The sequence below is a fragment of the Homo sapiens genome, chromosome X, assembly GCF_000001405.40.
Source record: "Homo sapiens chromosome X, GRCh38.p14 Primary Assembly".
NCBI lineage: Eukaryota > Metazoa > Chordata > Mammalia > Primates > Hominidae > Homo > Homo sapiens.
The window spans coordinates 155,466,540-155,494,321 of NC_000023.11; the positions used below are offsets into that span (position 1 = coordinate 155,466,540).

General features: G+C 38.8%; 1 protein-coding gene and 1 long non-coding RNA gene across 7 annotated transcripts in view; one reads left to right on the forward strand and one right to left on the reverse strand.

Annotated features, from left to right (window-relative positions):
• TMLHE-AS1 (TMLHE antisense RNA 1) lies at positions 1-27,571 on the forward strand. Its single transcript, NR_039991.1, has 4 exons — positions 1-310; positions 8,000-8,062; positions 22,753-22,850; positions 26,341-27,571. It is a non-coding gene; the product is annotated as a TMLHE antisense RNA 1 (long non-coding RNA).
• Positions 22,472-27,782, reverse strand: part of TMLHE (trimethyllysine hydroxylase, epsilon) — a 123,942-nt gene continuing 118,631 nt past the window's right edge. For 5 of the 6 annotated variants that reach the window (XM_047442235.1, XM_047442234.1, NM_018196.4 and 2 more), the window contains 2 exons: positions 25,818-25,956; positions 22,472-25,127 (listed from right to left, as the gene is read on the reverse strand). In XM_047442235.1, coding sequence (XP_047298191.1) covers positions 24,996-25,127; positions 25,818-25,956 — 271 coding nt within the window. In that variant the 3' untranslated portion in view covers positions 22,472-24,995. Of the gene's footprint in view, positions 25,128-25,817; positions 25,957-25,995; positions 26,162-27,782 lie in introns of those variants that run through there. The other variant, NM_001184797.2, reaches the window with a different exon arrangement.

The window sequence follows — 27,782 nt, forward strand, 5'->3', positions numbered from 1 at the left end:
TGTTGCTGTCGCTTTAGTGACTCTTCTCTGCCACACGCTTCCTGTGCCTTTGCCTTCCTCTGGTGTGATTCGGCAGGAAGACCAAAGAGGGGAAAAAGAAGTCACGGGCACCCCTTTGGGACCTACAATCAGAGAGGAAGGTTACTTTCCTTCAGAGCTTTAATCACCTGAAGGCCCTGGCGGCTGCCACTGTCACTGTCACTGCCTCTGTCACCACCACTGCTGCCACAGGATTGCCTGTGGGCTAGAACATGAAAGTACAAAGAAAAGAAGAAAGAAAAACTGGGGATTCCCTTAACTATCGCTGAGGGTTAGTATTCCCTTTTCCCTCTTCTCAAGTCAGAACCAGAGCTCTCTCTGTTCACACCACTGTCTACTTCTAACTTGCAGGCTACGTTGAGCCAAGGATACTAAAGGGGGGAAAATGTCAAATTCACTGCTGTTTCAGTGGTGCTTCAAATTGTAGTCTTTCCCCGGTCTGCCTCCTTCCATTTACTTTTCAGAGTCCTCAAATAGCTGGCCCATGCACTGTGTCCACATTTTATAGCTGCATTCAGTAGAGTGTGCATGCTTCATCTCACCCAGGAGCAGAAACATTCTGGAGATGTTACATTTTACTTTTACATTTAAGTGGAACAAATTTGTTCCCTTGTAAGTAATTGATGTGTGTGTGTGTGTGTGTGCACGCGCGCGTGTGCACGCGCACGTGCTTAGGTGTCTTTAATTTAAAGAATTTAAGAAATTCTTTAATTTTTTTTGAAGTACCATAACACAACTAGAATATATCTCAATATTGATTGTTCTGCATCAATTTTTGATGGTAGAGACTTTGTCGTTTTGAGGAGCAGGTTCAATTCTTCCTTTATTTCTGGAAACTTTTCACATATGGCATCTGTGGATATTTTTCTATCCCATTTATTAGGCTCTTTACTTAAGGCATGTAAATTATCTTAATGTTGGATCAGCATTAGCGTGACCATCTAAAGTCCTTCCTCCATGCCCTTGTTTCGATTTGTGTGCATGTCTCTTCTGCATCTTGCTCTTCCTAATTTACTTCTTTGATCCACCATGTGGTTCTTTGAGTTCTCGGTTTCTTTTCTGAGCTCAGTAATCTCCTTTTTTAAAAAAAAAAAAAAATCATATTCGGTTGCCAATCATCTGGTCTTTGAAACTTTGTTAAGTTGAAATCATATTTTAAATTTTACTATGGCTTAGAGAACTCTAGGGTTAGTTGCATCTGTTCCTTGTTTTATGCATTCTTCCAGTCTGTGATGGTTATCTGTCTTTTGTATACTATGATGGTTTCTTTCTTTCTCTTTCTTCTTCCTTTCTTCTTTCTTTTTTCTTTCTTCTTCTTTCTTTCTCTTTCTATTTCCTTATTTCTTTTCTTCTTTTTCTTCCTTCCCTCCTCCCCTCTTCTCTTTTTCCCTCCTTTCTTCCTTCTTTCTTCCTTCCTTCCTCCCTCCCTCTCTCTCTCCTCTCTTCCCTCCTTTTCCCTCTCCCTCTATCCCTGTAGATTGTTAGCATCATTGCTAAACCATTTATTTTTATTTCAATTATGGAAAACATTGTCAGACGTTCTATTTGCTCTAACATTCTGAGGGTGATAATTTGAGGGCAGGTGGGATGTTGATTTCAATCTACCTTTTCTTCTAAGATCTTGCTAAATATCATGTATCATGCTCTAGTCCATCCATGCAAGGGTGTGTCTTACTCTGAGGGTTTTGTTTTGTTTGCCCAACTCAGCACGGTGTCTTGGAAAATGGAAAGAATTGGGAGCCTTCCTACCGCTGGTGAAATCTAGGAGTGGCAGTTGAGGGCTTCTGTTCACAAAGGTATTTACTTTTTTCTGCTTATTCTCTCAGTCCATTTCTCCTCAAGTTAGAGAGCCTTACATCCCATTCTCAGGATCTGACTGGCTCACATTGTTTTTCCTCAGTATTGCTTCCAGGGGGTGGGGACAGAATGAGAAGTGTGCTAAACCAGCCATCCTCCCCACAAGAATTTATACATATATATATATGTACTATAAATATATAGTACATATATATGTACAATAATACATATATATGTACTATATATAATACATATATAAATACATATATAAACACCTATATAATATACATGTATATATGAATACCTATATATTTATATATATGCATATATATGTATGTATATGTATATATGTATGTATATGTATATGTATATATGTATGTATATGTATATACGTATGTATGTATACATATGTGTATATATGTGCATATATTATATATGTATATATTTATATATAAATGTGCATATATTTATATATATAAATCTGTATATATTTATATATATAAATGCGTATATATACATACGTATACATTTGTATGTATAAATACGTATATATTTGTATATATAAATACGTAGATATAAATACATATATGTATATTTATATATAAATATGTATATATAAATATAAATGTATTTATACTTATATAAATACATATATATGTATTTATAGGTATATAACTACATATATATGTATTTATAGTTATATAACTACATATATATGTATTTTTAGTTATATAACTACACATATATGTATTTATAGTTACATATATATGTATTTATAGTTATATAACTACATATATGTATTTATAGTTACATCTATATGTATTTATAGTTACATATATATGTATTTATAGTTATATAACTACATATATGTATTTATAGTTATATAACTACATATATGTATTTATAGTTATATAACTACATATATGTATTTATAGTTATATAAATACACATATGTATTTATAGTTATATAAATACACATATGTATTTATAGTTATATACATATATATGTATTTATAGTGAAATACATATATATGTATTTATAGTTATGTAAATACATATAAATATATATGTATTTATAGTTATATAAATATATATACGTATTTATAGTTATATAAATGTATATAAATATATACTTATTGTTATATAAATATAAATATATACTTATTTATAGTTATATAAATATATATAAATATATACTTATTTATAGTTATATAAATATATAAATATATACTTACTTATAGTTATATAAATATATAAATTTGTACTTATTTATAGTTTTATAAATATATAAATATATACTTATTTATAGTTACATACATAGATAAATATATACTTATTTATAGTTATATATAAATATATACATATTTATAGTTATATATAAATATATACGTATTTAGATTTATATATAAATATATACGTATTTATAGTTATATAAATATATATAAATATATACGTATTTATAGTTATATAAATATATACGTATTTATATTATATAAATATATATAAATATGTTCATATTTGTAGTTATATAAATATATATAAATATATACGTATTTATAGTTATATAAATATATATAAATTTATACGTATTTATAGTTATATAAATATATACGTATTTATAGTTATATAAATATATACGTATTTATAGTTATATAAATATATACGTATTTATAGTTATATAAATACATACGTATTTATAGTTATATAAATACATATGTATTTATAGTTATATAAATATATATGAATATATATGTATTTATAGTTATATAAATATATATGAATATATATGTATTTATAGTTATATAAATATATATGAATATATATGTATTTATAGTTATATAAATATGTATATGTATTGATAGTTATATCAATATATATGTATTTATAGTTATATAAATATATATAAATATGTATGTATTTATGGTTATATAAATATATGTAAATATGTATGTATTTATAGTTATATAAATATATATAAATATGTATGTATGTATAGTTATATAAATATATATAAATATATATGTAAAATATATGTATCTATCGTTATATAAATATATATGTATCTATCATTATATAAATATATATGTATCTATCGTTATATAAATATATATGTATCTATCGTTATATAAATATATATGTATCTATCGTTATATAAATATATATGTATCTATAGTTATATAAACATATATGTATCTATAGTTATATAAATATATATGTATTTATAGTTATATAAATATATATGTGTTTATAGTTATATAAACACATGTATATTTTTGTATTTATATAAATATAAATACATGTATATTTATGTATTTATATAACTATAAATACATGTGTATTTATGTATTTATATTTATATAAATATACATGTATATTTATGTATTTATATTTATATAAATATGCATGTATTTATATTTATATAAATACATGTAAATATACATGTATTTATATAAATAGATAGACATATATTTATATAAATACATGTAAATATTCATGTATGTATGTTTATATAAATACATGTAAATATACATGCATGTATATTTATATAAATACATGTAAATATACATGCATGTATATTTATATAAATACATGTAAATATACATGCATGTATATTTATATAAATATATATGTAATATACATGCATGTATATTTATATAAATATATATGTAATATACATGTATGTATATTTATATAAATATATATGTAATATACGTGTATGTATATTTATATAAATATATTTGTAACATACATGTATGTATATTGGTGTAAATATATATGTAACATACGTGTAAGTACATTTATATAAATATATATGTAATATACATGTAAGTATATTTATATAAATATATATGTAATATACATGTATTTATATTTGTATCTATATATGTAATATACATGTATTTATATAAATACTTATATAATATACATGTAGATATACATACATGTGTAATGCATGTATGTATATTCATATAAATATATATATATATATTCCTGGGAAGCCACTTTCCTCCCTCTCTCCCTCCTTCTCCTGCTTCTCCTCCTTAGTCTTCTCTTCTTCTCCTCCTTAGTCTTCTCTTCTTCTCATTCTGCTTTTTACCATTATTTATGTATTATTTTTTAATTTATTTAGTAGGATCGGGGAAGGGAGATTCTTTTATCTTTCTTCACTCTGCCATCTTTTACAAATAAATTGTAATGTTACTGACTCCAAGTTAAGATAAAAGTTTGCTTGCTTGAATGTGATTATTGCTTTGCTTGAGTTTGTAGATTATTCACTAAAAATAGTCTCAGGAAAACAGGACCTTCAACAGAGATAAAAGAAAACACGCCAACCAGCAGCTCTGGGAAGGGGCTGACCAGCCTGGTAAGAATAGGCTGACGGTGCCTGTGGAAGGTCACAAAACACTGACCAAGAAAGCAGTGATTAACTGCCCACCTGAGACTGAACACGTTTTAGAAGAATGTTTTGATCATTATTTCCTCTGCTTTCCCTTAAAAAACCCTAATCCAGAGGCACAACTCAGAGAGGTGATCACTGAAGTCTAGTTCACTGACTCCTCCCGGTTGCTGGCTTCTCAAATAAAGCTAACTTTCCTTTCACCAAAGCTCCTCTCTTTGAGTTTTTGGCCTTCAGGTGATGAATGGCCTGGACCGGAGTTCAGTTACAAAATCTCTGGTTTTGAAGGGTTATTTTTTTATTCCTGGGATATATTCCGGCTGACTTGGAGTTAGTTTTAGATAAATGTAAGCTTTCTAATGGATCTGAATCCACACTAACGGATATGAAATTATCAAGGTCTTTTTATTTTTAATCGCAAACACTTCATTTTATCAAATCTTAATCGTCTCCAATTTCACCGCAAACAATGCAAGGACCTTGTCTTACAAGTCAGTGCTGTCCAGTATTTAGTTATAATTTGGTCAGTCATATTGTTTTTATGCAGTCTTTTTTTTTTTTTTTTTGGACTCATGGCCATGGTTACTAGTTTCTTTGTTCACCATTCCTCTGTTGCATCTTGCTTTGTTCTTTTCGTTCAATTTCCTTTTAATGGAAGAACATCTTTAAGTCGTTCTTTCAGTGAGGGTTTGTGAGTGGTCAGCCCTCTCAACCTTTGTTGAAGAATATCTTTACTGGCTGGGTGCAGTGGCTCACACCTGTAATCCCAGCATTTTGGGAGGCCGAGGTGGGAGGATCATTTGAGCTCAGGAGTTCAAGACCAGGCTGGGCAACATAATGAGACTTTGTCTCTACAAAATAATAAATAAATAAATAAATAGCCGGGAGTGGTGGTGCTCACCTGTAGTCCCAGCTACTGGGGAAAAAAAAAAAATTAGCCAGGCATGGAGGTGCACACCTGTAGTCCTAGCTACTAGGGAGGCTGAGGCAGGAGGATCCCTTGAGCCCATGAGATCGAGGCTGCAGTGAGCCATGATCGCACCACTGTACCCCAACCTGGGCGACAGAGTGAGACCTTGTCTCAACAAATAAATAAATAAATATTTTAAAATATATCAAAAAGACTATCTTTATTTCACTCATTCTTGAATTGTAGTTTAGTTGGGTATGACATTTCCCCCCATTCCCCGAATGCATTAGTGATATGATTCCATTTTTATTGCAGTTGGTGAGAAGTCTGCTGTCAGTTTATTATCCCTTTGATAGCACTGTGTCTTTTCTTTCTGGTTGATTTTAAGATCTTTCCCCTTTTCTTTGTTGACCTGCGCCGGTTCCCCTGTGATTCAGTTTTATTGATTCTTGCTGTGGCTCATGCTTTTAGAATACGAGGAACTATGTCTGTTTTCAAATCTGAAAATTTCCAGCCAGTATCCTTTTGATTATTGGTTTACCCCTGCTCTCTTTATTCTCTGATTCTGTCATTCCTATTAGAGTTTTTTTGGACCTTTGCATCATTTTTCTGTATCTCTTAACCGTTTATACATTTGCTATCTCTCCTTGCTGCCTTCTGAATAATTTCCTTACTTCTATCTTCCAGTTCACTAAAGCAGATGAATCTGCTTTTAAACCCATCCTCTGATCTTTTGCTGTCACTGGAAATAATGTCTTTCATTTTCGGAAGTTCTATTTGGTTCCTTAAAGAAAGAAACCGGCCTCTTCTTTTTCCGTAGAATCTTGATCTTTCTCATATGTTTGGATTCCTTATTGTTTCTAAGTATCTTATACAAACTTATTTTATACTCTCGGTTGGCTCTATTATCTAAAGTTTTTGGTAGTGTAATCCTGCTCATCATTGTGTTTGCTGATACTCAATCACAGGCGGTTTTTTTTTTTCCTCAGGTGTTTTATAATTTTGTTTGTGAGTTTAGGGATTTGTTCAAACGGCTTCATCTGTGTGACTTCAATGAGGTTTGACTGGGGGTGTATCTCTGGCTGTTATCTTTTTGATGTTAATGTGTAAGCTTGGGGTTTTCAAGACCTAAATAAGAGGTATTAATTCCAACCCTAGACCTACATGACAATAGCCTTAGAGTTACAAATGACCAGGGGAAGCATTTTATTTTCTCCCACCAGAACCCATGAAGAAACAAACTCTCTTGTCATCTCACCATGGTGGTGGGAAGACTTTTTTTTCCTAGTCCATCCTTTCACTGACTGTGTAGCCCTTGTGAGGCACCAAGGCTTTTCTCCTCTCCCTGGTGGTTATTGAATCCATTCCCCTACCACCCTAACATAAATTCAAATGCCCATTGATCTGCTCTTTAGGTTCCTCTTTGTTTTTTGACACCTGAGGGTCAACTTCCACCATAAGTTCATCACATGTGCATTAAAAGGAATATTTATTAAATTTTATCCTGCCTTTTAAAAGGTGCTTTGTAACAGGAGGGTTTTCAGGTTATCTAGTGTGCACTGTTTCCAGAAATGGAAATTGCTTTCCCCTTTAAAACTCCCAGAGCACTAAGAAGCTCCCACAAATTCTCTGGAAGAGGAATGTGATGGGGGCGGGGGAAGACTTTTCATGAATATGTAGCCTCAAAGAAAGATTGGTGCTTTGGGGTGCCAGACACTCAATGACAGCTTAAGATGAGTGAGGAAGGGCCTAGGGGTTGAAAGAGCCCTAATTGCTCAAAGCCACATGTCACAAGAAATTTTGGGAAGAAGAGCCACTTTATGAACTGGTTACCTTCATGGATTTTTCTTCCCTAGGCTCAGAAGTGGAAAAATATGAAGATCCATTGCTGATGGGAATCCTGCCCTAAGCAAACGGTGGTGAGACATGGCTGCTTTTAGTGCATTTATTATATGTGACCATTTAAAAGCAGGTACTGAAGGCTGCAGAAAAGTCACGAGGTGGTACTCAAAATATGGTTATATAGGTAACTGGGTGTGGCTCTTCCCTGAGGCACAAAGAACTGATTTTTTTTGTGTGCTCTTTGAAAGGAAATGTATAAAGTTGGTATTATGCTTTACTCAGAAAGTTTTTAAGAGGGTTGGGAGTGATGCAATCACTTTAAAATGATATACAAGGTTGAACACTCTGCTAAGCTTCAGGTAAGAGTATCCAATTGCCTCTTGGACTTCCCTGCCTGGATGTTCTGTTCCACATGCACCCCAAACTCAAATATATCCAAGACTGAAAACATCTTCTCTCCAAGCTCTCTCCTCTTCTAATATTCCCTGTGTGAATAAGGTGTGCCCAGTTGACCAAACCAGTAACCTGGGAGTCATCTTGACAACTTCCTCTCCCTCAACCCCTCTCTCGCAATTAATTGGACACCAAGTTCAGTGGACTCTACCTTCAAAATGCCTCTCAAATCAATCCACGTCTCTCCTTGGCATTGCTGTCGGGCAGCAGGGCCCAGGTTCCCACTCCTCTTGGAAATGACAGAGGTCTCGCCTCTTCTGCACCTTCCCCCGAGCTTGAGGATCTATCCTGTCCAGAAGAAATCCTTTCCCTTTCATATTTCTATAGAATGCTGTCTAACACTTTGAATTCCCTTCAGGCTCTGGGTTTCAGAAATCAACACAGAAAGAATGCCGGGCTATTCATTTCCCTCCAGGATGAAGTTAGAATCTTGAGGGCAGCGAGGAAGGCAGGCATATGCATTGTTGCAAACCTTCTCAAGTGATTCAGATGTGCAGCTCCGGTCAAGAGCCACTGCACAACGTGGTGAGCTATTTGAATACAGGGACCATGCCTTTCAACTTTGTATTCATCAAAACACAACGCAGCCAATACCTGATATAGAATCAGTGCTCAGTAAATGTTCCAGTGAATGAGTGAATACAAGAACTAAAGAATGATATGGTGCAAAGAAATGGATGAAAGGGATCTTACGAGCTACTTAGTGCAATCCCTTCATTTTTTTTTTTTTCAGTTGCCGTAGCGTTGGGATTGCTTGAGGCTCCCGGATGTTCACAGGATGTCATTTTTGGCAACCACAGACCACTAGTTACCCAGCTTTTTTAGGTGTTGTGTAGCAAGGAGGGATTTCGGGTTATGTAATCTGCAATATTTCCAGAAATGGAAATTATTTCTTTTTCCTTTTATGACTCACACAACGTCAGGAAATTTCCACAAAATTCCCAGAAGAACATGATGGAGGAAACCACTTTCCCTATATATATTTTAGTGGAATATATTTTATTTTAATGGAACTGCCAGTGAAGCAGTAGATGTGGCCAGCAGACACTGCTTTCCTGGTGTCTCCTGAGAACTCTTTTCTCTCATTGGTTATTTTCACCTGCCTTCTTCTGCAAGTTCCTTTTTGTTTGGGCTCATTTTCCATTTTCTCTGTATCCAGGTTTGTTGAAAATGCAGGAGCCAGTGCTTCCCAACCTTCCCTACTCCAAACGCCTATGCACACGCACCCACTTGCATGCGTGCACGTACACGTGCATACATATACACCCACACGTACATGCGTGTGTGCACACACACTCCTGGACTCTTGAGAAGCTTTCAAAAGGAACTTATAGATAGGGTGAGGACTTTTACTATTAATTATTAATTATTATTATTATTACTTATATCTGAAATATAACATTTTGGACACACGGAAGTGCTCTAACCCCCAAATTCCTGTTTGTCTCTGGAAAGGAGCAGGCAGTCTAGGATGGGCAGGGACACACAAGACAACTTATCTTTTGCCATATGCATTAGACCTAAAGTATTTACAAAGCAAAAGAGGCAGCTGTGGCGAGACAGAAAAAGCCCTGGATTCAGAATTAAAACAGCTGGGTTAGAGTACTGGCTCTGTCACTTGCTCTCTAACTCTCAGTTTCCTCATCTGTAAAATCGGGGCAATGGTACTACTTCATATTAATACAACCTCAGCTGCAAAAGACTGGTTTAGGTACCCTTGTTCTGAGCTCCCACAGACTCCTTGTGCTTACCTGGTGTTAACATTGGCTGTTAATACATGTGTCTCCCGTGGTACAAGGAGATCTTGAGGGCAGAAATTCTATTTGTCTGGCCTCCAGCGTGCCTGCCCTCAGTGCACAGCAGAATGGTCAATGAATGTTGGTTGAGTGAATGAAGAACAATCGGACATTTGCATGTTTTTGTGTGTATAATTCCTGTTGTACTATCATCGGTAGACCGCCAGGATAGTACAAATCTATTTTTATTGTATGTAAATTTGACATATAGACATTCCAAATTAACAGGAGTTGATTCGCTCCCCATGTTACCTAACAACTAGTTTCGGAATGTTGTTGGATCCCTTTAGGAGAATATTTCAGTACATTTGCTCCCCTGGTTAGGGTTAGGGGTTAGGGTTAGGGTTAGGGTTGTGTTCCCAGCACAAGCGTCTCCTCAATAATAAGCCTTCACGTGTGTGCACCGGCACTTTAAAGAGTTGTTGTTGTTGTTGTTTTAAAGGTGTTTTCTCGTACACTGACTTATATGCTCCTCACGAGAACCCCATGAGACAGGCAGGAAAGGTGTTCCTGCTACCACTTGATGGATGAAGAAACCAATGTTCAGAGACATTAACTGAGTCACTACACACCACATCAAGAGCAAGTTTGTTTCAGAGCTGGGCCTCAAACAGAATCGGGTTTCTCATTTCACAGTCTGGTGTTTTTTACACAATCCATTTGTTCAACCCGGCTGCAATTTGTGATGTTGCTTCAGTGATATTTTTTGCATCTCATCCTATTCCTGCTTCACAACTGCACCTCCTACCACTTGCCTCAGCATACTCTCAACCGGGGCTTCTCAGGTGCTCAACCAGGGCCTCTCCCTCTACCCTGAACATGTCCTCTTGCAATTTCCTGCCTCTGGATCTTTGCATCTGTTTTCACCTCTTGGTGGGCACCCGTTCCCCACCCCCACGTCACTGCAGGTTGAAAGAAACCCTAGGCATCCTCTCGGTTTCAACTCAAAGACCACCTAACTTCATGAAACCTCTGCAGATGGGCCCTGCTGGATGAGATCTCTCTGCCCTTGAATGCACAGAGCAGTCCATGTCTTGTTCTATATCCATTTCCATACCTGCTTCATTCCCTTCTCTACAGTGTCCCTTGCTCCGTGTTCTCACAGCCCCCTGTGCTCAGTTTTCACAGCACATATTGCCCTATGTTGTGAGCCTGCTTTCGTCCTGTGACTGTGAGCTCCTTGAGGACTGGAACCTTGTCTGACTTATCTCGGTATCTCCAGCACGCAGCACAGTGCCGGAACACAGTAGTTGCTCCAAAAAATGTTGGATGAATGAGTGGATGGATGAATGAACACTACCCCACACAACGCCTTGGATATAGTGGCTGCAAAATAATAATGGATCAAATTGAGTCTATAACCAGATCTCATTTCTTTTCATCCTATCTCAGTGAAAGATGAAGGTGCTTTCTTCTGACTCAGGCTGTCACTTCCACTCCTGCTCTGGGTTCGATCCCATCCTGCCTCCCCAGGTGCCTCACTCCATCAATTACCTCTTCTCTCAAGAATGTCTAATCTCTCCGTCTTCTCTGCCTGGCTCCTTTCCTTGCAGTAACTAAAATGCTCAGGTCTCTCCTCCTATTCCAAAAATAAGTACCCTCAATTGAATGGGTGTCTTCTTCCTCACAGTATCAAGATATGTACCTCATCGGGGAGTAACCCAGCTGAGTGAGCCCTTTACTGGGGAGCCTTCAGTGTGAGTCTCCTTAGATCTTTTTCTCTTAGGTTGGTCAGATGGCTCACAGAAGACTCTTCCAGCTGCCAGAAGTTTAGGGGCAGGGGCAGGGAAGAAGACTGGGAGTTCACAGCTTTCAGGACACATGCTTCCACTCAACACCCCTGTTTTCAGTACAGGACCCCAGCCCTCAACTAAGTCTGCGAACTCCCCATCCAGAGACCCTCTGCTTTACCCTCTCCAGGGAATAACACTCCAGGCTTCTGTCAGAGCAGGGAAGGGCCAGCCCCTCACTGGCATTGACAGCAGGAGGGGATTTGGCAATGAATCTACTTCTTAAAAGAGTTTTCAAACAGCCTTCATTATTTTGATACCCACCCCCCTTCACTTCCAGAGGTAACTCCACTTCCAGAGTTACCTTGGTCCAGCCTTTGAAGATTCCTGGGGGTGAGGAGTAAATCAAGTTAGCTTTTTGCTTTTCCCACTAAGGTCTCAGAATTCCTAGTTTGTGGCCTTCTTGGATCTGCTAAGTCAGTTGCCACTCATCCATCTGTTCTTCAGCATCCAAAATTTAGTTGTTGCCTCCTTTCCTGTTCTTCAACCCTTTTTATTTCATCTTCACTCCTATCCTTCTAATCCTTTCAAAAATCACATTTGTAGCAGTTCCAGTGGGGTTTTGGGAGATGGTGAAGTTAGATGTGGAAGTATGTGCTCCACCTTAACTATGCATCATCACGAGCATGGGTGTCTGCCTGCCTGTCTCATTGATTCTACACACCTTCATTACCACACCACTCTCCCTAAAACTCTCCAGACTCAGCTTTTCTCATCTGGCTCTCTGACCTGTTCCCTGACCATTCTGTTCTTTCAGCTCTCAGCCTTCGGACTGCCAAAACCCCAAGCCAACTTCCTATCCAGGAACCCTCCGGCCTAGAAGTTCAGATGTCTTGCCAATATATCTGTGCTTCACAACTTGCCTACTCTCTCTGACCCCTAACATTTTCACATACTTTTCCAATTCTGCCTGTCATAAATTTGCTGCTTCCCCCTAAGTAGAATGTTGATTCCTGTCAAACACACAGCCTAGCCCTGATTCCTCCTCTTCTCTCAAGCAGTGATATTGTCAACAATGATAAACAACTACTATGTACTGAGTGTTTTTTTATGTGCTGCTCACACTTTATACACATGTATAGATTCATTCTTCATCATAGATTTTTCAGCTAGCTGGCATTTATTAGCCCCACTTTGCATATGTAGGAACACAGGCTCAAGGAAAGAAAGCAACTTCCCACAATTTCCCAGGCTAGTAAAAGTCAGAGATGGAATTCAAGCCCAGATCATTCCAAGTTTGTGCTCTTCCTGTGACACGACACTGCCTCAGTCAAGGCATCAGAGAGGAAGTTAGAAAGCAGATGGTGAGAGGGAGTACCTGAATTGGAGGGAGTACCTGAATTGGAGGGAGTGGCCACCATCAGTGGGTAGACCATGGAGAAAGATGGGGCTAACAGAGAAAAACCTTCACTGAGTTCACAGTTTTACACAGCATTAGCCCTTGTGATCTTTAGTCGTGCAGGGGATAAATTACCGTGCCTGCCTGCCCACACAGAAAGTAAGCTAGAACACCACTACTAATCTATATGATATACACCAACATGGCTTAAGACGATTTATTGCAACTGTAAAAAAATGCGCGCCCCCCCCCTTTTTTTTCCAGAAAGGAAGCGTGGATTGCATTAATCAAGCTAAAGACTTTTATACTTCTTTACAGTCTGACACAAAAACAGACAGTCATAAAGATAAGCCCGAATCATCAAGAAAGTGCACAGTAGTATTTTGCAAACCCAATTTAGGGAATCAGGGAAGAGTAAAATCCACATGGATAAGGTTTCCCCTTACTTCCCATTCGTGATGGTACAGTGAGTTCATGTTATGGAACGCCCACTGCTCCAAACACATGGCAATGATGGACAAAATATAAAAAGGTAAACTCAAAAAGGCATGGCCAAGACAAAACAAACAAAACAAAACAAAAACAAAAGATAATTGTCTCCATGTTGAAGTACTAGGCTTGTTGCTCTGGAAGCAAACCATGGTAACCAGAAGCTAAGCTCCTGCAATGTATAGCGGTTCCAAAGTACCCTGAGCAAGATGGAAGACAAAAGCCATACTCACAGATTAAAGCCCAGGACTAGAATGGAGCTACCCACAAACCCACCAACCCCTGACTGTAAGTCTGACAAAAAAGAACTACCACCAAACTCTGCCAGGGTCTTTGGTTCTGATGAGCTGCAGGCTTAAGGAGGTGAGGATGCAGACATGTTCTGGTCTCGTAACTAAGAGTTGAGCTAATCCACAGCTGAGCTAAGTGAGTGGATTTCCAATATGCCCAAGAGCACCCTGGGGCCAGTGATATGGATATGTTCTATCAAAGGGTTTTGAGCCTAACAACTGACTGGTATTTTTCAAGAGAAAAAACAGTACTGAATAGGTTAATTTCCTTCCATTCTTGGAAGAGGCAAAATTAGAAATGATGAATTTTTTTTTTTTTTTTTTTTTTGAGACATGGTCTTGCTCTGTTACCCAGGCTGGAGTGCAGTGGCGTGATCATAGCTCACAGTAGCCTTGAACTGCTGGGCTCAAGAGATCCTCCCACCTCAGCTTCCCGAGTAGCTGGGACTGCAGGCACTCATGACTCCACCCAACTAACTTTTCTTTTAATTCTATTTTTTTGTAGAAACGGGGTCTTGCTTTGCTGCTCAGGCTGGTTTCAAACTCCTGACCTCAAGCGATCCTCCTGCCTTGGCCTCCAAAAGTGCTGGGATTACAGGCGTGAGCCACGGCACCTGGCTAGATTTTGCTTTTAAGTTTGAAATGCTTTATTTAGAGTTTATTAGCCACTAACTCCTTTTTTTTTTTTTTTTAAACTTTTAAGTTCAGGGGTACAAGTGCAGGTTTGTTACATAGGTAAACTTGTGTCATAGGGGATTTGTTGCATAGATTATTTCATCACCCAGGTGTTAAGCTTAGTACCCATTAGTTGTTTTTCTTGATCCTCTCCCTCCTCACACCCTCTATCCTCCAAAAGGCCCCAGTGTGTGTTGTTCCCCTCTATGTGTCCATATGTTCTCATCATTTAACTCTCACTTATAAGTGAGAACATGCAGTATTTGGTTTTCTCTTTCTGTGTTGGTCTGCTAAGGATAAGGGCCTCCAGCTCCATCCATGTCCCTGCGAAGGACATTATCTCATTCTTTTTCACGGCTGCATAGTATTCCATGGTGTATATGTACCACATTATCTTTCTCCAGTCTGTCACTGTTGGGGATTTAGGCTGATTCCATGTCTTTGCTATTGTGAGTAGTGCTGCAATGAGCATACACATGCATGTGTCTTTGTAACAGAATGATTTTTAGTCCTTTGGGTGTAGACCCAGTAATGGGATTGCTGGGTTGAATGGTATTTCTGTCTTTAGGTCTTTGAGGAATCACCACACTGTCTTCCACAGTGGCTGAACTTGTTTACAATCCCACAGACAGTGTATAAGCATTCCTTTTTCTCCACAGCCTCGCCAGCATCTGTTATTTTTTGACTTTTTAATAATGGCCATTTTGGCTAATATTAGTTGGGATCTCATTGTGGTTTTGATTTGCATTTCTCTAATGATCAGTGATGTTGACCTTTTTTTTTCATATGATTGTTGGCTGCATGTATGTCTCCTCTTGAAAAGTGTCTGTTCATGTCCTTTTCCCACTTTTTTATGGGATTGTTTGTTTTCCTGTAAATTTGTTTAAGTTCTTTATAGATGCTGGATATTAGACCTTTGTCAGATGCATAGTTTGCAAATATTTTCTCCCATTCTGTAGGTTGTCTGTTTACTCTGTTGATAGTTTCTTTCACTGTGCACAGCTCTTTAATTTTATTAGACCCCATTTGTCAATTTTTTGCTTTTGTTGCAATTGCTTTTGGCGTCTTCATCATGAAATCTTTGCCCATGCCTATGCCCTGAATGGCATTGCCTAAGTTGTCTTTCAGAGTTTTCATAGTTGGGGGTTTTACATGTCAGTCTTTAATCCATCTTGAGTCAATCTTTGTATATAGTGTAAGCAAGGGAGCCGGTTTTCATCTTCTGCACATGGCTAGCCAGTTATCCCAGCACCATTTATTGAACCGGGAATCCTTTCCCCATTGCTTGTTTTTGTCAGGTTTGTCGAAGATCAGTTAGTTGTAGGTGTGTGGTCTCATTTCTCGGTTCTCTGTTCTGTTCCATTTGTCTATGTGTCTGTTCTTGTACCAGCACCATGCTGTTTGGGTTACTGTAGCCTTGTAGCATAGTTTGAAGTCAGGTAGCATGATGCCTCCAGCTTTGTCCTTTTTGCTTAGGATTGCCTTCGGTATTCGGGCTTTTTTTGTTTTTTGGTTCCATATGAATTTTAAAATAGTTTTTTTTTTCTCGTTCTGTGAAGACTGTCAATGGTAGTTTAATGGGAATAGCATTGAATCTATAAATTGCTTTGGGCAGTATGCCCATTTTAATACTGATTCTTCCTATCCATGAGCTTGGAATGTTTTTCCATTTTTTTGTGTGTCATCTCCGATTTCTTTGAGCAGTGGTTTGTAGTTCTCCTTGTAGAGATCTTTCACCTCCCTAGTTAGCTGTATTCCTAGGTATTTTATTCTTTTTGTAGCAATTGTGAATGGGAGTTCATTGCTGATTTGGCTGTCGGCTTTACTGTTGCTGGTGTATAGGAATGCTAGTGATTTTTGCACATTGATTCTGTACCCTGAGACTTTGCTGAAGTTGTTTATCAGCTTAAGAGGCCTTTGGGCTGAGACAACGGGGTTTTCTAGATATAGGATCATGTCATCTGCAAGCAGGGATAGGTTGACTTCCTCCCTTCCAATTTGGATGCCCTTTATTTCTTTCACTTGCCTGATTGCCCTGGCCAGAACTTCCAATACTATGTTGAATAGGAGTGGTGAGAGAGGGCATCCTTGTCTTGTGCCGGTTTTCAAGGGGAATGCTTCCAGCTGTTGTCCATTCAGTATGATGTTGGCTGTGCGTTTGTCACAGATGGCTCTTATTATTTTGAGGCATGGTCCTTCAATACCTAGTTTATTGAGAGTTTTTAACATGAAGCGATGTTGAATTTTATCAAAAGCCTTTTCTGCATCTATTGAGATAATCATGTGGTTTTTGTCTTTAGTTCTGTTTATGTGATGAGTCACATTTATTGATCTGCATATGTTGAACCAACCTTGCATCCCAGGGAGGAAGCCAACTTGATCGTGGTGGATAAGCTTTTTGATGTGCTGCTGGATTCAGTTTGCCAGCATTTTGTTGAGGATTTTTGCATTGATGTTCATGAAGGATACTGGCCTGAAGTTTTCTTTTGTTGTTGTATCTCTGCCAGGTTTTGGTTTCAGGATGATGCTGGCCTCATAGAATGAGTTAGGGAGGAGTCCCTCCTTCTCAATTTTTTGAAATAGTATCAGTAGGAATGCTACCAGTTCCTCTTTGTACATCTGGTAGAATTCAGCTGTGAATCCATCTGGTCCTGGGATTTTTTTGGTTGGTAGGCTATTTATTACTGCCTCAATTTCCAAACTCATTACTGGTCTGTTCAGGGATTCAGTTTCTTCCTGGTTCAGCCTTGGGGAGGTGTGTGTGTCCAGGAATTTGTCCATTTCTTCTAGACTTCCTAGTTTATGTGCCCAGAGGTGTTCACAATATTCTCTGGTGGTTGTTTGTATTTCTGTGGGGTCAGTGATAAATATTCCCCTTATCATTTCTGATTGTGTTTATTCAAATCTTCTCTCTTTCCTTCTTTATTCGTCTAGCTAGCGGTCTATTTTATTACTTTTTTTCAAAGAAAAAAAAAACAGCTTCTGGATTCTTTCATTTTTTGAAGGGTTTTTCATGTCTCTGTCTCCTTCAGTTCAGCTCTGATTTTTGTTATTTCTTGTCTTCTGCTAGTTTTGGGATTTGTTTGCTCTCGCTTCTCTAGTTCTTTTAGTAGTGATGTTAGGTTATTAACTTGAGATCTTTCTAACTTTTTGATGTGGGCATTTAGTGCTATAAATTTCCTTCTTAACACTGCCTTTGCTGTATCCCAGAGATTCTGGTACTTTGTATCTTTGTTCTCATTAGTTTCATAGAACTTCTTGATTTCTGCCTAAATTTCATTGTTTACCCAAAAGTCATTCAGGAGCAGGTTATTCAATTTCCATGTAATTGCATGGTTTTGAGTGAATTTCTTAATCTTGATTTCAAATTTGATTCTTCTGTGGCCCAAGAGACTGTTTGTCATGATTTCAGTTCTTTTGCATTTGTCGAGGAGTGTTTTACTTCTGATTATGTGGTCGATTTTAGAGTAAGTGCCTTGCGGTGATCAGAAGAATGTATATTCTGTTGTTTTGGGGTGGAGAGTTCTGTAGATATCCACCAGGTCCATTTGATCCAGTGCTGAGTTCAGGTCCTGAATATCTTTGTTAACTGTCTGTCTCAATGATCTGTCTAATATTGTCAGTGGGGTGTTAAAAAGTCTCCCACTATCATTGCCTGGCAGTCTAAGTCTCTGTGAAGGCCTCTAAGAACTTGCTTTATAAATCTGGGTGCTCCTGTGTTGGGTCCATATGTATTTAGGATAGTTAGATTTTCTTGTTGAATTGAACCATTTACCATTATGTAATGCCCTTCTTTGTGTTTTTTGATCTTTGTTGATTTAAAGTCTGTTTTGTCAGAAACTAGGATTGCAACTGCTGCTTTTTTATGTTTTCCGTTTGCTTGGTAGATTTTCATCCATCTTTTTATTTTGAGCCTATGTGTGTCATTGCATGTGAGATGGTTCTCTTGAAGACAGCATACCATTGGATCTTAGTTCCTTATCCAGCTTGCTACTCTGTGTCTTTTAACTGGGGCATTTAGCCCATTTACAATTTAAGGTTAGTATTGGTATGTTTGGATTTGATCCTTTCATCATGATGCTAGCTGGTTATTTTGCAGACTTGCTTACATGTTTGCTCTGTAGTGTCACTGGTCTGAGTACTTCAGTGTGTTTTTGGAGTGGCTGGTAACCATCTTTCCTTTCTACATTTAGTGCTTCCTTCAGGAGCTCTTGTAGGGCAGGTCTGGTGGTAACAAATTCCCTTAACATTTGCTTGTCTGAAAATAATCTTATTTCTTCTTCGCTTATGAAGCTTACTTTGGCCAGATATGAAATTCTGGGTTGGAGTTTCTTTAAGAATGTTGAGTATTGACCCCCAATCTCTTCTGGCTTGTAGGTTTTCCACTGAGACATCCACTGTTAGTCTGAAGGGCTTCCCTTTGTAGGTGACCTGGCCTTTCTCTCTAGCCGCCTTTAACATTTTTTCTTTCGTTTCAACCTTGGAGAATCTGATGATTATGTGTGTTGGGGATGTTCCTTTCGTGGAGTATCTTCCTGGAGTTCTCTGGATTTCCTGAATTTGAATGTTGGCCTCTCTAGCTAGGTTAGGGAATTTCTCATAGATGATATCCTGAAATGCGTTTTCCAAATTGGTTCCGTTTTCCCCATCTCTTTCAGGGACACCAATCAGTCTTAGATTCGCTCTCTTTACGTGATCCCATATTTCTCGGAGGTTTTGTTCATTGCTTTTCATTCTTTTTTCTCTATTCTTGTCTGCCAGTCTTATTTCAGAAAGCCAGTCTTCAAGCTCTGAAATTCTTTCCTCCGCTTTGTCTATTCTGCTATTAGTACTTGTGATTGCATTATGAAATTCTTGTAGTGTGTTTTTTCAGTTCCGTCAGGTTGGTTACATTCTTCTCTACATGGGCTATTTTGTCTGTCAGCTCCTGCAATGTTTTATCATGATTTTTAGCTTGCTTGCATTGGGTTACAATGTACTCTTTTAACTCAGTGAAGTTCATTTCTATCCATATTCTGAATTCTACTTATGTCATTTCAGCCATCTCAGCCTCAGCCCAATTCCGAACCCTTGCTAGAGAGGTGATGCAGTCATTTGGAGGAAAGAGGGCACTCTGGCTTCTTGAGTTTTCAGCATTCTTGCACTGATTCTTTCTCATCTTTGTGGGCTTATCTACCTTCAGTCTTTGAGGTTGCTGACCTTTGGATTTTTTTTTTCTTTTAACAGTCTGGCCATGTTTCTGTAGGGCTGCTGTACTTTGCTGGGCTTCTTCTCCAGTTCCTAGTCTCCTTGGATTTTCCAGTACCTGGAGCTATCACCAGTGAAGGCTGTGAAACAGCAAAGATGTCAGCCTGCCTCTTCCTCTGGGAGCTCCGGCCCAGCGAGGTACAGACCTGTTGCCAGCCCAAATGCGCCTGCAGGACAAGGCTGGAGACCCTGGTTGGGAGGTCTCACCCAGTCAGGAGGAACGGGATCAGGGAACTGCTTAAAGAAGCAGTCTGTCCATGCTTTCACAGATCAGCTGTGCTGTGCTGGGGCACTGCTTCCACCCCTGGTTGGTGTGGGCTCTCCAAAGCCTGGAGGCCGGAACAGCTAAGTCGCCCAAACAGCAAAGATGGTGGCCCCTCCCTCCCTCCGGGAGCTCTGTCCCAGGGAGAATTCAAATCTCTGTCAGCCAGAGAACACCAGTAGGGGTTGCTGGAGGCCTTGGTTGAAAAGTCCCACCCAGTGAGGAGGAACAGATTGGGCACCTGCTTAAAGAAGCAGTCTGGCCATGCTTCTGAAGAGCAGCTGTGCTGTGCTGTTCTGGGGTACCACTTCTGGGAGCTCTGTCCCAGAGAGCAGCCTGCCCTTCCCCCTGGGACCTCTGTCCCAGGTAGGTGCAACACTGCTGCTGGTGGCTGGCTGGAATTCCAAACCAGTGGGTCTTATCCTGTGAGGTGCAGTGGAAGTGGGGCCCGCAGATCGTGCCGCTTGGCCCCCTGGATTCAGCCTCTTTCCTAGGGGTATGTACAGGGGTCTAATCTCCCGCTTTGCAGGAGTTGCAGTTACTTTTGCTGGGAAACCCAGGGCCGGAGTATGTAAAGCTGCTGGGTCTCTGCACGTGCTCAAGCGGCTACTCTGCTGAGACTCCATGTATCTCTGTGTGTCAGACTGAAGGCCCTGGTGGAGTGGGTTCACCAGGGGATCTCCTGACCCAAGGGTTGCAAGGATCCATGGGAGGAGCGTGGTTTCCCAGGATCGCACATTCACTTACGACTTCCCTGGGTGGAGGAGGTTCCTCTGTCTCCATGTTGCTCCTGGGTGGGCTGTCATCCTGCCTTGCTTTTCTTCATTCTCTGTGGATCGAGTTGTTTCCTTGATTAGACCCAATGTGGGTACCTGGATGTTTCAGTTGAAGGCGCTGTATTTACTCGCCCCTTTCCTTCCCCTCCATGAGAACCACTCACCCTAGCTGCTTCTAGTCAGCCATCTTGGCCACTCCCTCCCCGCCCCCCACCTTTTTTTTTTAAATGCTTGAAAACTATTTGCAAAAGAAACCTAGAGATTCTCATGGTTCTTTTAAGATCTTGTTGGATGGACTGTGAAAGTGGGATTATTGTCTATGAATGGTCAGCTAGACTGTGTGTGTGTGGAAAGGGTGAGGGAATTAACATTTATTGAGCAAAAGGGCATGCTAGTTAAAATCATTGTCTCTGGGGACAGATTTTTCTGGGTTTTAATCCAAACTCTGACACGTATTAGCCGTGTGACCTCTATTTTTCATTTGTAAAATGGAGATGGGATTGTTGCGGGGATTAAAAGCACTTACAACAGTCCAGGATATAGAAAGCACTGTGTAAGAGCTGGCTGTCATATATTAGTCATCAGTCATCATACTTAATAATCACAAAATTGTTAGAAAATCCTGTGAGGTAGGTATTTTCCTTACCATACCCATATGAGAAAACTTAAGCAAGGAGAAGTCAAACAAAGTTACCAAAGTCACACAATTACGGAGTGACAGAGCCTTTAGACGCTGCCTAGTCCAAGGCTTTCATTTCACAGAAGAGAAAACTGAAGTTCAAAATAGGAGAGGGACATGCCTGAAGTCATTTAGTGAGCCAGTGACAGAACTGGGCCTAGAACTCAGCAGCAGGACTCTTCCTGTCAGTAGTTCTCAAACTTTGTCATGTGTTACAATCCTGCAGAGGACTTGCTAAAACAAACTGCTGGTACCCATGCCTAGAGTTTCTTACTTAGTAGGCGTGGGGTGGGCCTTGAAAATTTGCATTTCTAAGGAGTTCTCAAATGATGCCACTGCTGGTGGTCTGGGGACCCTACTTTGGGAACCACCACAACACACCATAATTCATACATCTTTTGTTCTTTTCATCATGGACTACACAGTGTGTGACCTACAAACACTTTCAAAGAAATGGGAACCGGTGATGAAAACCAAAGAAAATTACATATCTAGCAGCAAGAAGGTACGGTGACTGACCAACAGTCCTGGTTTGTGTGGGACTCTCCTACTTTTAAAATGGAAAGTCCTGTAGTTCTGGGCACAAGAGGATGGTTGGTCACTCTAGATGAAAGCAAACAAAAGTCAGTGTCAGCTAAATGCCAAACGAAAAAGGACATACATACAGAGAATGTGGTAACTTCTGGTGAATTTGTTTGAAAAGGACCCATTCATTTATTCTTCCAACACATCTGTATTATAAAACTACTATCCATAAGGCACTGTGTTAGGTGCTGTGTTCCTGACCCTACAGATCCCATTCCACCATAGCAAAAGGTAAAAGTGACTCTACAGTGAGCTTGGTAGACATAGACCCATGCTTATATACTCAGGGACACCTGGAAGAGATATAAAAACAGAAACATCTCACATAGGAAGTTTTCAATGCATCGTGATCAGGACTCAAATAATCCCCTTCTCTTTTTCTTCAGTGTACTAAAGGGAGCACATTGTTGAGAAGGACCGGTTGCAAATTTCCAAAAAGGAGAGTAAAATAATTAATGAGTCAAGGTCTCAGGAGAGACAGAAGGTAAGGGGAGTCCTTCAGTAAGTGGGGAAATTGATTTGTTTTGTGTCCTCATCTCTCCAGGGCCATGAGCATGTCCTTTGCTGGCCATAAGTCAATGCTGATGACCTCAGTTATAGTGTAATCTTCAAGGCTAATTTACGCAAAACTTCAGAAATGGTAAACATCCTCATGAAGACTAATGATGACATATTTTAGGAGTGCATAATAGTAGGTATAGAGAAAAAACTGCAGGGTAAAATGTTATTGCTGTTCTTATTGCTAAAGGGCATACTCCTTAAGAACCAAAGTTAATTATCAGTCCTTTGACCTAAGAGGAAAACAAATTTCAGGGACTCCCCTAAAGATTCCTATGTAGTACAAATAAAATGCCAAAATATTTTGGAACACATTTTGGAGCACTGGATAGGTCAATAAAATAATGTGTAAATTGCCAAATGTGATCTAGGAACTCCCTGCAAACATCAGATTAGGCTCTATTCTCTATCTGAATACTGACTTTGCTTTGCTTTGTAACTCCTATCTTCACTAATAATGCCTTTTCCCCCCTCTTGTGTGCATCCTAGCCTATATTCTCTTTCATCATTCTACAGTGGTCAATGTGGTTATTGTACAGCTTCACTTTCAATGAAAGCTGAGGGAAAAGAAGCCTCATACCCTGCCCCCCACCCGCCCCCGCCAATACGTAAAAGAAGCCATTTAAAAAATAAAAGCAGCAAGCTACTAAATTTGACTCATTCAAATCTTGGCAATTAGCATGTATAGTATGTTATGAGAGAGAGAGAGAGAAAATTAGCAGAAATGGAGGAAAACATATTACATCCTAAATACCACCAAATTGCCAAAATACACATTTGGGTAGTAATCTCCAGAGAACTCTCTGGAGGCACAGCATCTATCATGCTGATTTCCCTGAACAATATTACAGAATAGCCCTGTGTACTTTCTCTTGGGGGGGGAGGTGTAAAGAATTATCATATGGAACCTCACAAGTCTCTAAAACCTTTCTGCAATTATCCCTCATAGGATTACCACACTGATGAGTTTGTTCAACAGGCGCTGTTGTGACTTCCTAATTTAACTCCTATAGAGATGATTTGTGTGGAAGATAAAACACTATATTTGAACTCAATTCCCACCTTATCCCTGAGCTTATGCTACCAAGCAATTCTTACAATGTTTGGAGTTCTATTAGACTACAGAGAAGAATCTAGGGTTTCAGCTAAACCCTTTAATCCACAGGCCTAGGTAAAGGACTGTCTCAAGGTAGTCGCTAGCCCATGGGTTCTCAAAGTATGGTCTGAAGACCCCTGGAGGAGTCCCTGAGACCCTTTTCGTGGGTCTGCAGATTAAAAATTATTTTGTATAATAACACCAAGATGAGTTACATTCAATTAGGCATTTTTCTTTTGAAATTAAGCAGACTTTTGGAAACTAAGATGTGCATAGCCCTGTAGTAGGCTAAGTGGAAGTTACAAAGGCAGTAGTAGCTTTTTTTCCCCCTCTCGTTATCTCATGAGGATACAGAGGACTTTTCCAGAGGCTACATGACATATGGTTATGTCATCTCTCTCATAGCTGAGGGATGTGTGCTTCTGTGTTCTTCTTGAGCTTTAAATATTTCTCAGTCTTAATACCTAAAATAATTAGTATCAATAGATAGAACCCACACCCAAGAACTCCTTGGGGCCTTCAATAACTTTTAAGAGTGTTAAGGTGTCCTAAGACCAAACATTTTGCAAATTGTTGCTTTATCAGGATTTTTGTTATTTCTAGAATGCATTTCTTTCTAACTGATCTACTTGGGAAAAAAATCGTTACCTCATGGCAATTATTGCTTTCCTATCAATATGGAGATTATATTTCTGAAGGAGACTGACCAAAATTATATTAAAAGGTTTAAATCAAACAAGTGGATCCATGTTATAACATGAGGAAGAGAGCTGCCCCACTAGATGTCTGACATTAGATAACTCAGAGTCCCGCCTCTCCAACAAGTCTCCCTTACTAGAGAAACGGACAGATTCTGTTTTGTGGGATGGGATAAGGAGACAATCTGAAGTAGAGTTTGACACAATATTATTCTGCCCATATGAAATTCTGGTAGCCAGGGTGCCAGGTGTATTCATAATCCAGATGCTGTCAATTTTAAGCCTGAAGCCCCAAGAGGCGAGCAGTGTTTAATACATCATCTCTTGTTAAATAGCAGCCACACAGTTGGCGGTAGCCAGTGAAGCATTCCCTGCCATGTAGGACACGCCAGTTGTCTATAAATAGGACCTGTGAATGGGCCAAAAAAAAAAAAAAAAGAGAGAGAAAACACTGTCAGAAGAAGGACAGACCAAAGGAACCCTAAGTCAGAAGAGATCATTTAAAAGATAACCTTTAGGTTGTTTTCTGGTTGCATTAAATGAGATATTTTTCTTTTGAAATTAAACAAACTTTTGGAAACTAAGATGTGTATAGCCCTGTAGTAGGCTAAATGGAAGTTACAGAGGCAACAGTAGGTAATGGGCCCTGCACTGGAGGAGCTTCTGTTTCTCAAGTAATTGTTCTCTTATCAAAGTAAATCAGATAATTGGTTTGTTTCTTTTTCTTTTTCTTTAATTCTTATTCTACCCTTTCTCAAAGGGTTAAATTATCTCATGACATTTTATGCTAAGCTGAAGGTATTTTTCATCCAGAGGAAATACCAAAAATAAAAACTATGGAATCATGAAGCTGGAAGGACCCTTGGGGGTCATCTAGTTAAACCCCTTCATCATACAAATAGAGTCACTGATGCCTTAGAGATGGGATGAGGCTTGCTTCCAGAGCATTCAGTGAGTGGGCGGCAGGACCATAAACAAAACCAAGGACTCTTTTCTCTTTTTCCTTTGCAACATCGTGACTCACATATTAAGTAAGTACCCGTTCTTCACTGCTTCAGTATTACAAGCTTGCTTGACATCTTTAGAGATTAGGACCCACCCTGCCAGGCTTTAGTTTGACCCAAAACTCATTCTCAGGTCTCCTCAACTCTATCGTTAGAGTCCGGTGTGCTGTATACCAGCGATGGACGACATCATAAGGAACGGTATTGATGACAGCCCGGTCATAGTTGTTGTACCTAACATGGAATCATGAGAAGAAAGATCTCAAACACATGTTAAAGACATCTTTTGTTTATTGAACAATTTTATATAAGGCTTCCCCTATGTTCAATACTTGTCCCAGAGACGAAGTGACGATAAGTCAATATTCTCTCAGGAATATCACATTGGAGTGAGGAGTTCCACTGCCTGTTGACCGTGTTTTGTTTTTCTTTGAATAATCTAAGGATACGGGATAGAAGTTAAGTTCCAACTGTTTCTCTCATCTTATGATATGATATTTTAAGTCTTTACTGGCCAAAGGTCATGGAAGCACTGGGGAAAGCGCTGAGCTTTCTCCTCACCAAGCTGAGGTGGGGTGGACAAGAGAGGTTGTACTAACAAAGCTTTCCTTTTAACAGGATGACTTACAACTTAAGTGTCTCCCTTTGTGGGAGGAATCCCAGCTATAGCCTAGTGGACCATTCACCCAGGGATCTTCAATCATTCGTTCAACCCTAACATTTATATGCGCACCAGCTACATGCTAGGCAGTGCGTCAGGCATTAAAGATACAAGGACGAATACAGCAGACACGACCTCAGTCTTTGGACAGAGTTTACCTTCTATTGAGGAAGATAGATGATAAACAAGTAATAAATACATAAACAAAGTAATTTCAGCTAGCTATAAATGCTATGAAAAAATAATAGTGTTATATAATAAAGAGCGACTGGGAAATCTATTTCACATGGAGTGTTAAGTGAAGGACTTTTTGAAGAAGCGACATTTGAGCTGTTACCTGTATGATACGAGACCAACAATGTAACAAGCTGAGGGGAGAGCATTCCAGGCAAAGGGAAAAGCAAAAACACAGCCTTGGAGTGGAATGGAGTTTTATTCTGTTTGCCGACCAGTAAGAAGGTCACGTGGCTGGAGCTGAGTAAGCAAGGGGAATAATGGTGGGAGAAATTACGTGGAGGAGGTAGTCAGGGGCTAGATCATGTATATATTGCCATGCAGGCCATGGTAAGGACTTTGGATTTTATTCTGAGTACCATGGGAAGCCACTGAAAAACCTTGCCTAAGATAATGGGTTTCTGTTTTGCCTAAGGCAAATTAACTTTTTACTGAAGTATACTATACATTACGGAAAAAGTACACAAATCGTAAGCTTGATGAATTTTCATGATGTAATCGCATCCATATCACTAGCACCCAGGTCAATAAACAGATCATTACCAGAACCCCAGAACCCTCCCTTATGCCCCTTTCCAGTAACGCCCATCCCCCAACCCACGGGTAACTACCATCCTGACTTCTATCACCAAAGATTAGTTTTGCCTGTTTATATAAAACTTTATATAATTGCAATCACAATATGTATTCATTTTGTGTCTGGCTTCTTTCATTTAATATTATGTTTAGGAGTTTCATCATTGCTTAGCAATAGTTTATTGGTGCTATATGGAAGTTGAGTGCGTGATCACACCACAGTTTATCCATTCTACTGTTGATGGACATATGAGTAATTTCCGGTTTGGAACTACTACAAACAGTGCTGTTATGAACATTCTATTACATGTCTTTTGGTGAACAAATATATTCACTCCTATTTGAAATAAACTTAAGAATGGAACTTATGGATCATAAGGTATGTGTATGCTCAGATTTACTAGATACTGCCAAAGATATTCTTTCCAAAGATAAATTAACATCCAATGGTGCCATTTTTGGATATCTCAGGCAATATTCCTTAGTGTTAGATAGTACATGGCACAATCAGAGCCAACATTCTTAGTTTTGTTGCATATAAAATGAGCATAATAACATCTGCTTAGCTGATCTCACAGGGCTACTGCAA